General features: G+C 37.7%; 1 long non-coding RNA gene and 1 other non-coding gene across 53 annotated transcripts in view; both read right to left on the bottom strand.

Annotated features, from left to right (window-relative positions):
- RMST (rhabdomyosarcoma 2 associated transcript) overlaps window positions 1-17,299 on the bottom strand; it is a 102,232-nt gene that overhangs the window by 60,569 nt on the left and 24,364 nt on the right. For 8 of the 52 annotated variants that reach the window (NR_186094.1, NR_186073.1, NR_186064.1 and 5 more), the window contains 5 exons: window positions 11,861-12,006; window positions 11,182-11,290; window positions 10,465-10,592; window positions 9,586-9,772; window positions 8,411-8,536 (listed from right to left, as the gene is read on the bottom strand). This is a non-coding gene — a long non-coding RNA (rhabdomyosarcoma 2 associated transcript). Of the gene's footprint in view, window positions 1-7,912; window positions 7,974-8,410; window positions 8,537-9,585; window positions 9,773-10,464; window positions 10,593-11,181; window positions 11,291-11,860; window positions 12,007-12,748; window positions 12,824-17,299 lie in introns of all 52 variants that reach the window. The other 44 variants (NR_186066.1, NR_186103.1, NR_186063.1 and 41 more) reach the window with 19 other exon arrangements.
- Window positions 12,489-12,558, bottom strand: MIR1251 (microRNA 1251). Its single transcript, NR_031653.1, has one exon. It is a non-coding gene; the product is annotated as a microRNA 1251 (primary transcript).

The raw sequence follows: 17,299 nt of genomic DNA, 5'->3' as shown, positions 1-17,299 counted from the left end.
TAGATTAAACCTATTCATTAAAGTTTGTGCATCTGTGCATTCTTTTTTTTTTTTTTTTTTTTTGAAATGAAGTCTCACTCTGTCGCCCAGGTTGGAGTGCACTGAAGCAATCTCTCCACTCTGCAACCTCTGCCTCCCAGGTTTAAGCGATTTTCCTGCCTCAGCCTCCCAAGTATCTGCGACTACAGGCGTGTGCTACCAGGCCTGGCTAATTTTTGTATTTTCAGTAGAAATGGGGGTTTGCCATGTTGGCCAGGCTGGTCTCCAACTCCTGACCTCAAGTGATCTGCCTGTCTCGGCCTCCCAGAGTGCCGGGGTTACAGGAGTGAGCCATCACTTGAGGCCAGGAGTCCGAGACCGCCTGGCTAACATAGTGAAAACACATCTCTACTAAAAATACAAAAATTAGCAGGGCGTGGTGGCACATGCCTGAGAATCGCTTGAACCCAGGAGGCAGAGGTTGCACTGAGTTGAGATGGGACCATTGCTCTCCAGCCTGGGTGACACAATGAGACTCTCTCTCAGAAAAGAAGAAAAAAAAAAGTTTTAATTGTATTGGTCTTTCTTAATAAATGAATAGTGACATATATTTATCAAGCAGTGACTGTGAGCATCTTAAGATGCATTAGTCATTATCCATGTCTGAACTGCAATATTCTAGATGGGAATAGAAAGTGTGTCTGTACAAAAATAAGATCTGAGATGGACTTTTTCCACTTTCCTGAAGCATGCAGGGATTTGCTCCCTTCACACTTTAGCTGACATTTACTGTAGCATTGGCATTTATTAATGACTCCAAGTTTGGGTGGATTCACCAATGTCTAATTTGCAGCCAGACATCACGAGGAGGCCTATTTGGCTCACTTGGGGAATTTTTCCCATTGTTAAACATTATCTTTTTTGTCTGTGGACTTCGTCTGGTTTGCCAGTTAGCAGTGCATGGTTACAGTCATTAGTCCTCAAAGTGCTTATTTTTTTTTAATAAGCATCCCACCTTTTTTTTTTTTCCTGGAATTAAAAAAAATAAACAATAATAGAAAGGGAGTGTTTTTGAAATTCTCTAATCTCACTATAGATAATTTACCCATTTTAATTTTTTCAAACTAAAGTCTCCATGTGGTCAAAGTTCACGTCGATAAAATTGAGTCAGTATAAGCTTTTGTTTAAACAAATTAAATGCTATTTAGGTGTGCCTTGTATTGCAGATCCTGGCAGGTAAGGCTAAAGTCCTATTTAAAAGTTGGGAGCCTGTTAACTCCTGATGAATTTTGCTATAGGAGAAGAAGGAAATTAAAATAATCAACAGATGCTAAGTTTTTGAAACTAGAAGGAAGCTGCTGGAAATCAATATGGTAAAGACAGGCAGTGGAGAGATATGGAAAGCATAAACAAAATTTGCTTTTAGCCATACTAACTTTTAGCTATTGCCCAGACACAAGGAACATGACATGGAAAAGCAGAGAAATAACATGAAAGATTCCATGAAAACAGGTGCTCTATTGGGAGACCAAGACTCCCAAGAAAATAGGTCATGAATCAAAAGAGCCCAAGGAAGTCACATTGTACAAGAATATCAATATAAGTGTTTACTATTACTACATTTAGAACTCTTATTTATTTTTCCTTATCTAGGCTAAAAGTCAACTATTTTGTGAAGCACTTCCTGACTTGACAGCCAGAGCTTGTCAGTTCTACATTCATAGAGGCCCCACAGTGGCTCATGCCTGGGAATCCCAGCACTGTGGGAGGCTGAGGTGGGTGGATCATTTGAGCCCAGAAGTTTGAAACCAACCTAGGCACTTAGTGAGACCTCATCTCTATTAAAAATAAAAGAAAAAATTAGGCAGGCATGGTGGCATGAGCTTGTTGTCTGAGCTACTCGGGAGGCTGAGGTGGGAGGATTGCTTGAGCTCAGAAAGTGGAGACTGCAGTGAGCTGTGATTGCACCATTGTACTGCAGCCTGGTGGCAGAGTGAGATTGTCTCAAAAAAAATCATTTATTATAGCAGATGCTACAATATTTTCAATGTCTGCCTCTGTGTGCCTCCACAACCAAGGTGGAAACTTCTTGAGGGAAAAATCAAGTATTCAGAGTTTTATCTCCAAGATCTAGCAATCTCCCACAGGACCTGGTGCATAAGTGTGCACTCCATAAATGAATAATCAGTGCATGAATTATTACATTAAATTTAAATAATAGATTTTACACCAAGACAAAGCATTGCTTAAGAACAAGAATGAAGCAGTTTCATTTGAACTTCAGGACACTAAGGTCACCAATTTAATGGCCAAGAAAGTCTCCATTATAAGACAAACAAGGATTCTTTCTACTTTCTGCCACTATTTTTACCTCCACTGATTGCAGAAAAAGTCCTACATTGACATGACTACAACACATATAATGCAATGATTGGTCCAAACAGATCTTCTAATCTAGTACCTCTTCCTTAAAGTTAAAGTCCAATCATTATCAACCGTAACTCATACTAATACTGAGTTAGTGCGGCATTCCAAGCAGCAGTAATGTGCTTTGAGAGGGTGGGCCAGGAAACAAGATAAACTAAGTTTTGTCTTGAAATCTGGCATATAATATTGCCAAATAAGCACAAAAATAGCAACTTTTGCGTCATCTATTTATTAAGGCTTGTTCTCTCATCTATTTTCTGTGGATATTTCTCGACAGGTGGAGACAGGTACCTGCTATAGTCCCTGTTCTCCCCTGAATGACACTAACCAGCCATTTTTCATGGCCATTCTAAGATCTGCTTTGACAAATGCTGAAAAGGGGACCAATGCTGAGCTAACTTGCTCTGCCCAGCAAGGAGAGGCAGGTGACAGGCATTTCTGTAGTGTCACTGTGGGAACTAACCAGAAATGTTTGCTTTTCTGGCTTTGTCATCCTGCAAGTTTTAATTTCTGTAACCTGCTTGGATACGGTGGGTGAGAATGTTAATTAATCAACACAACAATGAGCCTGTCCTCTGGAGAAAAAGTAATATACCTGCAATATAGTGGTATACCTATTTTATCAAATAAGCTAATTTACAATGGTCTACATTTCTCAGTTATGTAGGTTACAAGACAGTAGGCCTTCAAATACATATTCCATACAAAATTAATTTAATTCCTGTGGGTATATTGTTAAGACATTCCATTTAACTTTCCCTAGATAAAAAAGCACAAAAAGTAGGGGCAATGACTTTTAACGTTTAACTGTGTTTTAGTCTATTTCCTACCTTGGTATCACCCAAGGCCTTACTGGTAAATATTGAAATTAAATCCATGCCTACAAGACTTCTGCTAATGAATAAGAAAACTGCCTTATCTTCAGCTAGGTCATATTCCACAGTCCTAGACAAGTGCTCCTCAAAGCCTTGTCTGTGGCTGGCTGTTGAGTCCAGCAGTTTTGTTACTGGTCCACCACAAAATAGGCACAGACATTGTGAGCAATCATTTAGAAACACCTATAGCAAAGTGGCAGAGTAATTTTATGTTTGTTGAATCTAATAATAGAAAATTGAGTTTGTGTCTTGTATGTCTGGGTTTTAATTTTATTTTTCTAGTAATTCAATTGTATTCTGTTTTATGAAAGTATCAATCCATAGTTGATTGTTAATTAAAAGAAAACTGAAAGAAAGATTCTTCCCAAGATTAGAGATACTCAGCAAGTTAGTGCAGTGGAGTGTTCAGGGTCGGGCTGACCTGAATGGGATTGCAGCTCTTCCACATAGAGCTATGTGGACAAGTTATTTAAACACTCTGTGTCCCAATGGCTCTAGCTGCAAAATGCATATCATAATATCGGCATCCCAGGATCCTAGGGGAAAATCCAGTTAATATTGGCTTTGGTGTCAGACGGCCCTCAGTTTCTTCAACTGTTAAGTGGATGTAATAATTCCAGTGTCACAGAGTGGTTTAAGGATCAAATAACTTGGATAAAATCTGTAGTTCAGTGCCTATGCAGTGTCTAGCAAAAACCTCAAGTCAGCAGTCATTATTATTGGAAGTGTCTTATGCACAGTAGGTTCTTGATAAATATTAACTTATATCATCCCTCATTTGTGTAGAGGATCCTGAAGCACTCGTGCTTCCTGATTTCAGTCCATGAATCGTGGACTGAAATCCATGACTGATTCAGTCAGTATATGACCATGTCATACACTGATGCTCTCCAAAAGGATCTGAACTCTTTGAGAAACAGTTTGTGGATGTGGCTCAAAGCAGCAGGACAGGCTGCTTCTGTTTACCAGCGGACGTTTCTTCTCTTACATTTACATCGGAGAAAATTCTCCTCTCTGCGTTGAATGATATAATGCTGGGAGAAGGCAATTGACAGCCATATCATGGGAATGCACAGAATAGTTCTTTCAGGTAATGGGGAAAAATGTCAAAAGATAGATCATCCTATCTCTCCTTTCACAAATTATTAAACATGATGTGTCTCTTCATGCCCATCTTTTTAAAAACATGCATGAGGGGCTAGTTGTAATGAGTAAAAAGAAGACATAGGCCGGGCATGATGACTCATGCCTGTAATCCTAATACTTTGGGAGGCCAAGGCAGGCAGATCGCCCGAGGTCAGGAGCTCAAAACCAGCCTGGTCAACATGGTGAAACCCCATCTGTACAAAAATACAAAAATTATCCAGGAGTGGTGGCACACACCTGTAATCCCAGCTACTCGGGAGGCTGAGGAAGGAGAATTGCTTGAACCTGGGAGGTGGAAGCTGCAGTGAGCAAAGATCGTGCCATTGCACTCCAGTCTGGGCAACAGAGTGAGTGAGACTCTGTCTCAAAAAAAAAAAAAAAAGAAAGAAAAAAGAAAAAGAAAAAGAAAAAAAAAGAAAAAGAAGAAAACATAAAAAGCTCTATATCATTTTAGAGTTTACAAAACACTTTGATCTTATTTGATTTTTACAATACTATGGGCAGAGCCTTCTATTTCCACCTCTGATAAACTCAGCTGAGAAATTAAATGGTTTTCTAAGCATACATTGCTAGTGAAGGCATATCTTAAATTTGAACCCAATCGTTCAAATCCCAAAACATGGGTGCAGAAAATACAGGTAAAACAAGTTACATTTTAAAAAAGAATATTACAGGAGAACATCTCAGAAAAATAGTCGGATATGTGAAAAACAATTATGAATACAGATCTCTGAAAGAAATACAATGGACAAGCAAGAACGAGTATATGGATAGGATGTGGGTAGAAAAAAAAATTGATGTATATCCAAAAATAAAGAATATTAGGAAAAAATGTTCAAAGGATTACAGTTTGTGTTTAAGGTATAACTAGATACAAAACCCACAGATATAAATGTGAGAAAAGAAAAAAAAATCGAAAAAGCTGACAGACATTCCTAAATGGTCCCAGGCTTAGAGACAGAGGCAGCCTTTGAGGATGTCAGACAAACCCCATAGACAGCCCCAGCGGGCACCTTCAGCAGAACTAACCTTACCCATTGGCCCACTTAACCATTACCACTCTGAGGAGAGCTCCTGAAGGCCAGGGGTAGATCACACTGTCAGACAAATGTCTCCAGCTGCTACCGATGCCTGAAACCTCATCAGCTTAGTATCTGACCCTTAATAAAAGGTCAGTGACCTTCACAGGGGCAGCACCTCAAATGTTCTCAGTCATCTAGATCTTCGTGTGGATGAATTTCAGGTCCTTATTGAAAGGAGGTCTTAGCAGTAGAGAAAAACAGAGAGGCAGAGCCCATAAGGACTTCTCAAGAAAGGCTGGTAATGCTGACAGAAGGTACTGGCTTTTCACGATTTTCCTAGTTTCTGTAGTTACCACGATTGCCTGACAGAATTTTCTTTAATATTTTTATCAGGTAATTTTAGGCAACATTTTTTTTAATCATAATGCATTACACAGAAAAATTGTATATAGAAGATATGTGTATACATGCAAAGACAGGCAATAAATAACAACAATATTAAAGATCATTGCTAAGACTCGTCAACCCCTTACCATAGGCTTTATACTCATTATCCTGTTTAATCTTTACAACCACTCTATGGGGATGGGGATGATTACTTTCCTCATTTTGTAGGTGAAGAAGCGGGTTTAGAAACTGTTTATACAGCTAATAAGTGGTAGAGCAGAAATGCGAACCAGTCCAATTCTGGTTCAACCACCATATTTGTGCACCAAACTTAATTGGTAATATTTTCATCATATCACCCACATTCATACATAACATCAATATTCTAGATCCCCGTAGCAAGGAAGCCAAAGCCCCTTATTACTAAAACTTTAAAAAATAGTAAAATAATCTAACAGAATAGAGTGAATTTCTAAGCTAAATCACAAAGCTTCCAATTAAAAATGGTTTTGCTTAAAACTTGCTTGGGGAAACACCCCTAGACCCAAGGAGTCCTTGTTCCCTCCCCTCCTCTATTTGTATTATTACTTTGTTGAAAAATTTGGACTAGTCTGCTCAGTAAATATGTGTGAGCAGGTATTTGACCTGAACCATGGATGATTGATCTTCATATTTCAAGATGAATCTGTTCAAGGGGTCTATTAACTTTACGTCACATTAGAGAGAAATGGTACAGCCTTCTTTTGAGCTGTAAACTTATTAACATAGCATAGCGGACCCCTACAAACCACAGTAGCGGAAGGGTGACTGCCTCCTTCCCCATCTCCTCACCATGACAATTATGCTCTAATTCACATTATATGTGTTTCTTTGATTAAAAAACAAAACACATTTTATTCTCTAGCATTTTTCATTTAACAAGTTAGAAAAAGAAAGGCAAAAAAAAAAAAATCATCCTTGTGCCCTACCTCTCTAAATCGTATCTTCATTCATGACTATCATGGGAAAGGGTTTTGAAAACCAGAAAGCACTAAACAAACGTAAGGCCTCATGTTATTAGACAATGAGGGGGTCATTTAGTGCACTAGAGTGCCGTGGAGTTGCCCTGGTCAGTGTCTGAATTATTTTGTTTATATCCACAGCAATGCTGCTATACTTAAACAGAGAAGTGCATGGCAACTTTGAAATATTTTGAACTTGTTGATCTTGAACCTCTCTTTAGAAAATAAATGAGGGTCCAAAATTCCTCATGGGCCCAAAGGACATTTATAGATAGAAAATCTTTGTCAGGGTGAGGCCAAACTGGCTACAGAATTTGTCTAATTACTAAGACAGAGGGACCTCAAGCCCTTGAAAAGATTCTAGGTACAGTCATAGCATGCACATGCATTCACCTTTAATTATTCATATTTTTCTTGCTAAAACTTTGAAAATGTTATTTTACTTTTCCACTGTATTCTCTGTTAACTGTTGACCTAATCTGGTAAGAAATATCTAGAGGATGGTCATAGAATACAAAACCAAGCAAAGCAGGTTTATATTCCATGGTAAGATGGGATATGTGCAGACTCCAGGGAAAGAAGAGGCTTTGTAAAATTTATTTCAATATATGAGTATGTGGGCACTAGCTGAGGAACTTTTTGATTCATTCATAAAATGAGTTATGATATTATCACTGTCATCTGACACATCTCAGAACTTTAGTCTTCCTACTGCAACTGTGTATTCCATTCACCTATCCAAGATGACTCTTACAGAGTGATCTAAGCTCCCTTAAAAATGCATTCAATGTCAATGCAAACTGATAATATTCATCCCAATTTCATTGTTCCCAGGGGAAGTCCCCTCCAAAAAGACAATTCCACAGCCCATTACTATTCAGGGAGCAGGGCTAATGTTTTTCCTCACTCTTTCTGTCCCCAAGCTTCATGTGCATGCACATGAGAAAAAGACATCCAACACAAGAGAGTGACAAGCCAAAAGGTCAAGGATCAGCATAGTGATATGATAGTGTGTTTTATAATATTTGCTTGATTAAGTGAGCTTCACAAAATACATAAGGAGGTTTATACTTACCACTTAGGACACAGTAATCAAATTAACAGAACACTGTGAAACCCATTCTCAATTTCTTGTTCTAATAGGAGCAAATAATGACACGTAAAATTTTGTAAAACACATATATGTTTGAGGTACTTCACAAACATGTATATTTAATGGGATTTTTTTTACCCCAGATATTTAATTTTTAATAACCCAGGAGTTATTATTAAAACTACTTGGAATTCTTCTAATTCTTCTACTACATTCTATTTTGGCAGTGGTAGAAAGTAGCCCCATAACATGCTGGAGAGAAGGGTACACCCATTTGGGTTGAAAAAAATCCACCATAGTTAATCCTCAAAAGTGAAATTTTTGCATCCTATAATCAGGAGTTGCTGGGCATTTGATTAAATACCCCAGGCATTTCATCCCCAACCTACTTTCATTTCTCCCCCCAACTGGCAAACAAGAGAAATTAGACCGAGAACCTGAAGAAACAAAGTGTATACTTTAATACAGAAATGCTTTTACCTGCCATCCTGCTGTGAATGAAATGGGCTGGGCTTTCAAAATGTTAGTCAGCTTAAATCCCAGTTGGTGGCACTGGGAAAATGTAGCCACGCAGTCTTATTGCTGTTTCTGTTCTTTAACTGCCAACTGGAATACAATAGAGGTTTCAAATGGAAACAAAAGAGAGATGGATCCAGAAAGAACCAGAAGGACGACAACAAAGCAAGTCAAGAAAATGCTAAGGAGCCAAAGACACTGTGCTCCCCAAAGTTGTCATCCCAGACCTTCTTCACATTGAAGATAATTATGCTTCCCTTAATTGCCACTTCCCCTCAGACAGTCATGATATTTACAAATCACGAATTATCTAGTAGATGCTTATCTTTGCGACATTTTAGGAAAATCATAAGCTATACTTAACCCAAAGAGAGAATGGCTGTATCACGTTGCTCAGACATGGATAATATATATTTTATATATTATGAGGGATTTTAGTATAGTATACAGGGTAGCAGTGTTGAACACACTAATATTTTTGGACTTGAAGACAGTGCCTCCATTCTGATGGATTACAGTATATATAGCATACATAGAAGGCTAGATATTTTAGTATCCTCATATTGCATCAACAGGTACCTGGAATTTTACTTATGTTCAGCTTCTCCATCATCTCGCCATTGCTTTTTTACTTTTTTTCTTGTCATGCAGACATTATATTATTACAATAGTAGACACAATCGCCACTTATCTCACAATCCTCATGTCCTCTTTTAACTTCAGAATGTGTCAAAGTATATATGCCATTGTCTTTGGTTTGTGCACATTTAAGAATTCACACATCAAAAGTCAAATTTTGTCCAGGGTTATAGAATAGCATGCCTTTCCCAGCGGCTCCCCCCCCATAAGAATAATGATGTACATAATTTATATTTTAATTTAAATATGCTGTATGGTGTACTGAGTTATATTTTTCTAAGCTGCAAAGGATGAAAAAAACAGTAAAAATAATGTGACTTACACATAAACAAAAGATATTCAGTAGCCCGGCTTTTAGGTCACAGTTTAAATAATTGTATATGAAGCTTTATATGATAGATTTCTACATCAAATGGATAAATGAAAACTTTCCTGGGGCTAGGATAGTCATAAGTAAAATCGTATGAAATCACATCTTACGAGACATGATAAAATCTTACCTTATCAGATGTGACATCCAAAATGTTGCATTTTCCCTGTGATTTTATTAATAATGCAGAAGCATCCTTCTAATAGACAATATCTTTTATAGAACATTGTCTTTGGTAATAATCGGAGTTAGAGTATTAACTAGGTGATCCAAAGTTAGAGCATAAATTGTAAACAACCGTGGTGGTTTCAGCCAGTCTGAAAGTTCAGAATAAGAAAAAAAAGTAAGAATTTTTGACTGGCCAGCAAAAAGTAATAATCTAAAAAAAAATACTGAGGTTTTTATATTACTGTGAATGTGCAGGAATTTTATATTTTAACTGTCTTTTAATGTCATTTTATTTATAGCGATGTGGTCTCTGTTACCCAGGCTGGAGTACAGTGGCACAATCATAGCTCACTGCAGCCTCAAATTCCTGGGCTCAAGGGGTCCTCCCACCTCAGCCTCCCAAGTAGCTGGGTTTACAGGTGTGAGTCACTGCACCCGGATTAATTTTCTTATAATCCATTTTTGATCCCACAAATTACTAAAACTCAAATTATATCTATCCCCAGACAAAGCAAGATGGTAATTTGTCAATTTTCTACTTTGAGGCCTAAATTATTTTCCTTAATCCTCTACTCTGCTCAAATTCATTATAAAAATTAACAATTTACCATCTCACTTCACATGAAGAAGATAATATTATAGAATGTGGATCCTAGGATAGAACAACCAAATGCTACCTGGGGACAGATGAACATGCATGTATGCGTAACTTGAATTGTTCCAATTATTCTTTTGCTTATAAAACAATTTCTGTATGAGCTCCAGAAGCCACTTTGAAGGAACATCCATTAGCATACAACATTTTCTACTTCTGGAAGCCAATTCACAATAAATCTCTTACCTTATAGAGAGACAGAACAGCACAGGGCTCTAACAGGATGAGTGATGCATAAAATGGTCTTCAGCTGACTTCCCATGGGATTTATATTTCCAAACCTAGGAACACCATCTGCCTGCACGGATGGAATGCTAAGTAATGCAGTCAAACAATCAGTATGTTATGTATAGTTTTTTAGCTTTAAGAAATCTAGAAAAAACTGTAAAATATGTAAACAAACAAGTTTGTGTCTAAAAATTATAGCACAAATTAGCTGGAAAAATACATAGCTTAAATAAGGAAGGTTAGTGATGGGCTCATATTTGTAAGTGTGATTGTGATTATGTAGATAATATGCTTTTTCTTGGAAACTGACGGGTTGCTGCATTCTTGGTTATAGGTTTAAGAGAGAGACTCTTTTATATCGTATAATGCAAGTATTCCACGTGGAAATCACAGGATCTGAATTACAGATAAAATGTCAGTCAAGGAGTCCATTTTTGGTGGTTTATTTTTCAAAAGTACCCAAGAGAATAAAGAAAAGAATCTAAGAAAATAAATAAGAGAAATGTATATGTTGAAATTCTACTTACATTTTCTCATTTATTTGTTTGAAAAAAGTATCACTAATTCTTTTACAGTACAGTTTCAAATCAGACTTATTTCCTGTCTAAACTTAGCCTCTGTTAATTGTGTCATATTTCTGCAGGCATGGGAAAGGAAATCAATGCCCCTACTCACCTTTGGAAGAATTTCACTACCAAGTCTCCGTGGTTCTATGGGATCCAATAATCCTTGGCTCAGTATTGATTTTTGTATGACACCTGTAGAAACAGTCTCTCCTTCCTTTCTAACAAAATATAGCAACAAAAATCGTGTAGTTTCTGAATGAATTAAGCATACGTTATTAAGCACAACCTCATCCTGTAAAGCAATGTGGTTTGTATTTTTTTAAAGATGTTAACTTTGCTTGATTTTTTCTGAGCCATTACTACTGTTTAAAGGTGATGTGAACATCTATTTGTAAAAATAATTTGAACATAACTTTCTTAGGTTTCTGGCAGCTAACTCTTATATTGCAAATAGCATTTATTCTTCTAAGAAAACAGACAAATGGTAAAGCCTATCTGAGTTCAATTTCCAATTTTAAAATATCTCCAAAATCAAAATCTTTTTGAAAATAAAAATATACAATCATGCTTTTAAAATCTAAAGCTTTGATGAGATAGAGGACCTTCAAGGGAGTAAACTGGGTATATCAAATCCTAGGAGAGAGAATGGGTTAAATTTGGGGTGCATTTTATAGCATTAAAAGAGTTGGAAAAACAGGCAAGAAGCATCAGCCTTTCTACTTTTCTTGACAAACACAAATGCAAAAACAAAAACAAAACAAGTCATGTTTCCAATATTCTTTACACACCTGATTTAAACCTCAAAGGTATTTGTTTCACCCTAAGCAGACTTCTTTGGGCATGTCTGATTATATTTCCCCGCAGCCATTCTGTGCTGAGTGGAGTAACTACAGTTGGCAACCTATTCCATCACTCACTCCATCATCCTGAGAATCTGCAAAATAAAAATGTAGCGTTAAAAAAAAAACAACAAGCAAACAAATAAACAAAAAAACTTTATTTTACATTTGCTTTTCCTAGTAAAATCCTAGAAAAGAAAATGCAGAGCAGCGTGTTTCCCACAATATATGTGACATCTTGGTTAAAAGTGACAGGACCATGTTACACTCTGGCAGGTTTAGTGTTAAGATCTGACAGATATAAACCTGCACGAACAACCTCCCTGTCACAGATATTTAAGCTCATGTAAAAACTTTGATTTGATAGTCCCTTGATTAGCTTTTGCAACAGTGAGTGCTACTGCCTTTCAAGTTCATTATAAATTACTGAATTCTTCACAGTACTGTCAATTTAAGCTCTTGTTTCACTAAAAGGCAGGCATCTTAACCACTCATCAAACCTGTGCACATTTTTGAATTAAGGAATTAGATCAATCCAAACTCCAGTTCTCAAGGGAGAAGTTCCATTGTTTATCAGGCCATGTCTACACTGGCTGAGCAAAGCGCTCTGTTCAGAAGGAGAAGCGCCTTTGGCAGCTAGAGTCCACATAGCTGACCCATGGACGCTCGGGTGGAGTTTCTTCACCTAATTACACAGTGCAATGAAATTACTGAACATTTGATGAAAATGACCCATGACGACAAAAAAGCCATGACACGATTGTTGTTCTAATCTATTGACATGGTAGTCATTTATAATGTAATTCAAAGAATCTATAAGAATGAGAAGATGCTTACACTTACAGCAGATGATGCATATGGGTATCGAAATACTTGATAACTCAACATTTGGTATTGCCCAAGTCATTCTTCCTAAACAAGACAATGGTGGCACAATTTTAAAATGCAATACCTCTTCCCAACTGGTCCAGGTTAAGCTCGCAATGCTAATCTTATATTAATAGAGAAATCCACAGAGTTTAAATAATTAAAAAGATGATTGTGATCACACACACACACAAACGGGTTAAAAGGTAATCAACATTTTGGAGGAAATATTTACATTTTTCTGACTTGTTTAGTTAAGATTTAGTAACATCCATGGGTGCATTCGATTCTGGTGACAGTACCGTGCCCTCGACTCATCTGGAATGTTTTAGATAAAAAGTGGTTTAGCAGAAATGTTCTACTAACAGCCATGAAATTATAGACTTTCCCTTCCATCCATTCAAACACACTCCACCCTGTGAAATAATAGAAACGACACTAATCACCTTTGGAATTTTGCCAGCCTTCCCCATAGGTGAGCTGCAGAGTTCGACCAAATTGCTTTGGAGGAATAAAACCTGTCTTACCCCTGTGAATGCTCTCAGAGGGCTTCAGAGTGCATGCATTTCGATTCATCGAAGAAAGCAGAAGCAAAGGTTTAACTGTGTGGGAATCTATCAGAACTGTTATCTATGACATACACTTACTTCTATCAACATCACCCCAAAATAAATTAATTAGGTCAAACTCAAACCCATTTTCCCTAATCACTTGGACTTTGCAAATGGGAGTAGCTCATTGTTTTTCTTTTTTTGCCAATCCCAACTTAAGATTTTCAAGATAAGTGTTCAGTCACTCTGTTGCAGTTTGATAGTTGTGCAATTTATACATCAAATCCCCTTTCGCTGGGTGCAAACTTCCAACTTCAGATGGAGTCATGACAACATCTGGCTGATTAGTTTTTTAAATTACCATTCAAATTATAAAACAAAAGAAATCTAGTTGCTCTAATTGCCTTGTTTAGAAAAGTTCATCCAAGATAAGTTGAATTTTGTATCTTCTTTTTCTATATGAAAGCCCTGAGAATGTCTAAATATAAATATAAAATTGTTGCCAAACATATTTTAGTGACATGAAGATAATGATGACGGCGGTGGAGGTGGTGGTGATGATAATGAAATAGCAAACATCCTTATGATACTTGACTATGTGCCAGGCACTGTCCTAAATGCTTTGTGTATAGAAACTCATTTAATCCCCCAACAACCCTGTAAGATAGATGCTATTAGCCCAATTTAACAGATGACGAAACAGGATTACAGAGACAGCAAGTAACTTGCCCTGGATCCCATAGTTAGTAAATGGTAGAGATGGATTTGAATCTGTGCAGTCTGGCGCCAGTGTCTGTTTTCTCTTAGATGGTGCCGTGCTTGGCCTAGCCACAGTGTTGAAACTGGCATATCATTATGCATAGAGATTTAAATTAAAAAGTGGTGTTTTTACATTGGCTCTTTCCTTCCTATATGAGTGGAATTAACATGCCTGGAACTAGAGCTTTACTCTGTAAACTACTCTGTCCGTCCGCCAGGCTCATTCTTCTATTTCTCACTCATTCTTCTAAATCTCATTCAGGATTTCCTTTACACCTTTCAAAACTTACATTTTAAGATGTTTGTAAATGTGAAAACTATCACATAAGAAAGGAACTGTAAGAATAAAAATGATTAAATTGGGCCTAGGAATAGAGCATGTACCTAAATGTAACCTCATGGGATCAGGCCTACTGAGGTCAAATCCTGATGCTACCTATTCCAAGTTAGACAAGTTGTTTTATTTCCTTATGACTTAGTTCCACTGTCTATAAAATGGGAATGAAAATAGTACTACAGTTTAGGATTGTGAAGATTAAATAAATTAATCCATATAAAATGCTTACCCCAGTGCATGACACATATCAAGCATTTGATAAATATGAACTATTGTTATTATTATATTTAGTTTATATAGACTAGCCTTCAGCTGCAACTAAGCATTAACAATTAAAATTTGTCATTGTAGTGTGAAAGTATTAACACATATTTAAGAAAAATTGGTTCTTCTCACAGGAAATCCTTTCAGCACAGGGACAATTTGGATTTAAAAATTCACTGAGACATATTTTCACAAGTAATTTTATTCCCCCTATTTTTGAGAAAATAGACAAATTACAGATTGTGACAGAACCACCTAAAAAGTCATCAGAGTTTACGATGTTATCACCTAACAAGCTAAAAGTAGCCTTTTTTTTTTTTCTTTTTTTCTTGAGACAGGGACTCTCTATGTCATCCAGGCTGGAGTGCAGTGGCACGATCACAGCTCACTGCAGCCTTAATCTCCTGGGCTCAAGTGATCCTCCTGCCTCAGCCTCCCAAGCAGCTGGGACTACAGGTGCACGACACCATGCCTGACTAATTTTTTGTATTTTTAGTAGAGATGAGGTCTCGCTATGTTGCCCAGGCTGCTCTCAAACTCCTGAGCTCAAGCGATCTTCCCACCTCAGCTTCCCAAAGTGCCGGGATTACAGGTGTGAGCCATTGTGCCTGGCCTAAAAGTAGCTTTTCCTATACAGCAAGGTTTTAAATAACATAAAAGTATTGCTTGCTTAATTGTTTTTATATCATAATTCATATTTCTAAACAGAGTTACTTAAGTCAAATTGACCTCGATGGCAGTGATGCAATTTTAACAATTGTGCAATTAAACATCAGTAAAATTGTCCATATCTTCAGCTTGTCCATTTTTTATGCATACTTCTCAATAATCTGAGTGCTTATAGGCTTATGTTTAAGTCCCAACTCTTTGAGGCCATATGGGTGAGTTAGAAATGGCTATTCTGGAGCATAAAATAGAAATTTCCATCCCAAAGAAAGTGTAATGCAAGGACTAGGAGAAAATTAATTACTGAGTGCTCACTTGTATGGAGCTACTGGGTAAGTGCTATACAAAGAAAACGGAACGGATTGAAACCTTTTTGCTTCAGTTCTAAAATGGACACCTTCACCAGAGACAGCGTGAAAACCCCAGAGGCCCAGAAGCTATTCTAGGTAAATCTCACACTTTCACCTGGATATTCCCAGGATGCACCGAACTGCCTTTTTTCCAGTTGGGCCACCACGCAACTTGAGAGCCGCTTGCTGGTCCCCAAGGAGCTAGCAGTGAAGAGAGACACTTTTGCCTCATTTCCCAGTACCTCAGAGACCAGATATTCTTTGGCAATCCTCAAAGAAAGAAAGTCTTGATGTATATAGGTAGTGCCTTGGTCAAGAATTAAAGTTTTGAATAAAGGGGTTGGTGTGTAGCCTCATCTGGGACAAAGAGAGTAGACTGAAAACAAGGCACGATCAATGTGTCTCAATGTGAATCCCAACTGCACCCACCTAGGTTCCTCGCTGCAACCTCCACCTCCCAGGTTCAAGCAATTCTTCTGCCTCAGCCTTCTGAGTAGCTGGGATCACAGGCATGCACCACCAGCTAATTTTTGTATTTTTAGTAGAGACAGGGTTTCGCCATGTTGGCCAGGCTGATCTCGAACTCCTGACCTCAGGTGATCCACCCGCTTCAGCCTCCCAAAGCGCTGGATTACATGTGTGACCCACTGTGCCTGGCCAGAAAACCTTCATCCTGAAATGGGATAGCTATCATCAGTCTCCAGGTCTCTAGATGGGGATGGCATGTCCCAGAGACAGCCTTCTGCCGAAAGTCTCACAGAGTGAGCAGCAGTTTTAGAATTAGAATCCGTGGGGGTAGAAGGAGACGGTTGAAGTGTTAGAGAAGAAATAAATTCTTCATAGCAATTAACTGATTAGGAGGAAAATGGAAACACAAGGAAAGACACAAATGACTTCTACTGGCAAGAGACGTCAGCAACCTCAACCGTGAATTACTGGCACAGACAACCGGGGGATGTGAAGAACAAAGACTGCGAGGAGCTAAACATGGCAACCTGGTTTCATTGGAGAGGATGAGGCTTCCCTAGCCAAGGGAATGGACTCATGCAGTAACTATGTGGGGAAGTTATCTGATGTTCAGACTTTCTATCTGAGAGCATCTTTAAGTTACTTAAGCACAGTGTCAGTCACAGCGTTATCTCCAGTATCTTCAACAAACATTATTAGCTGCAGCTGTTACTACTGCTACTCCATACCCCACTCTCTCCACCCCAGCTGCTTGAGGTCCATCAAACGTGCTTTTCAGATTTTCTGAACAAATTACAAAATTCCTATTTTCTTGTGGCAGTTTCATTTTTCTTATTGTTGCATGTTTAGGTCTCTTTTAAAGACATTTAGATCTTTTAACTTAAGTTTTGGAAAGGATACTCCTTATTTCATATCATATACGAAGTCTAACAAATAATCTCCAAATATCAAATGGAAAGTTTAAAAAAGCTCACATCTACCCAGTGTCTCTCATTGGCTACTCCATAGACCTGCTGTCATTTCTCATTATCCTTTTTTTATGATTCCACACACAAATCCAACCCAGGTGATTTGGTTCTTAAAGAAATGAATGTGAATTAATTCTGATGATCATAAATTTTAATGA

This window comes from Homo sapiens, chromosome 12 (assembly GCF_000001405.40).
Source record: "Homo sapiens chromosome 12, GRCh38.p14 Primary Assembly".
NCBI lineage: Eukaryota > Metazoa > Chordata > Mammalia > Primates > Hominidae > Homo > Homo sapiens.
This window is presented reverse-complemented; position numbering and strand designations above follow the sequence as displayed.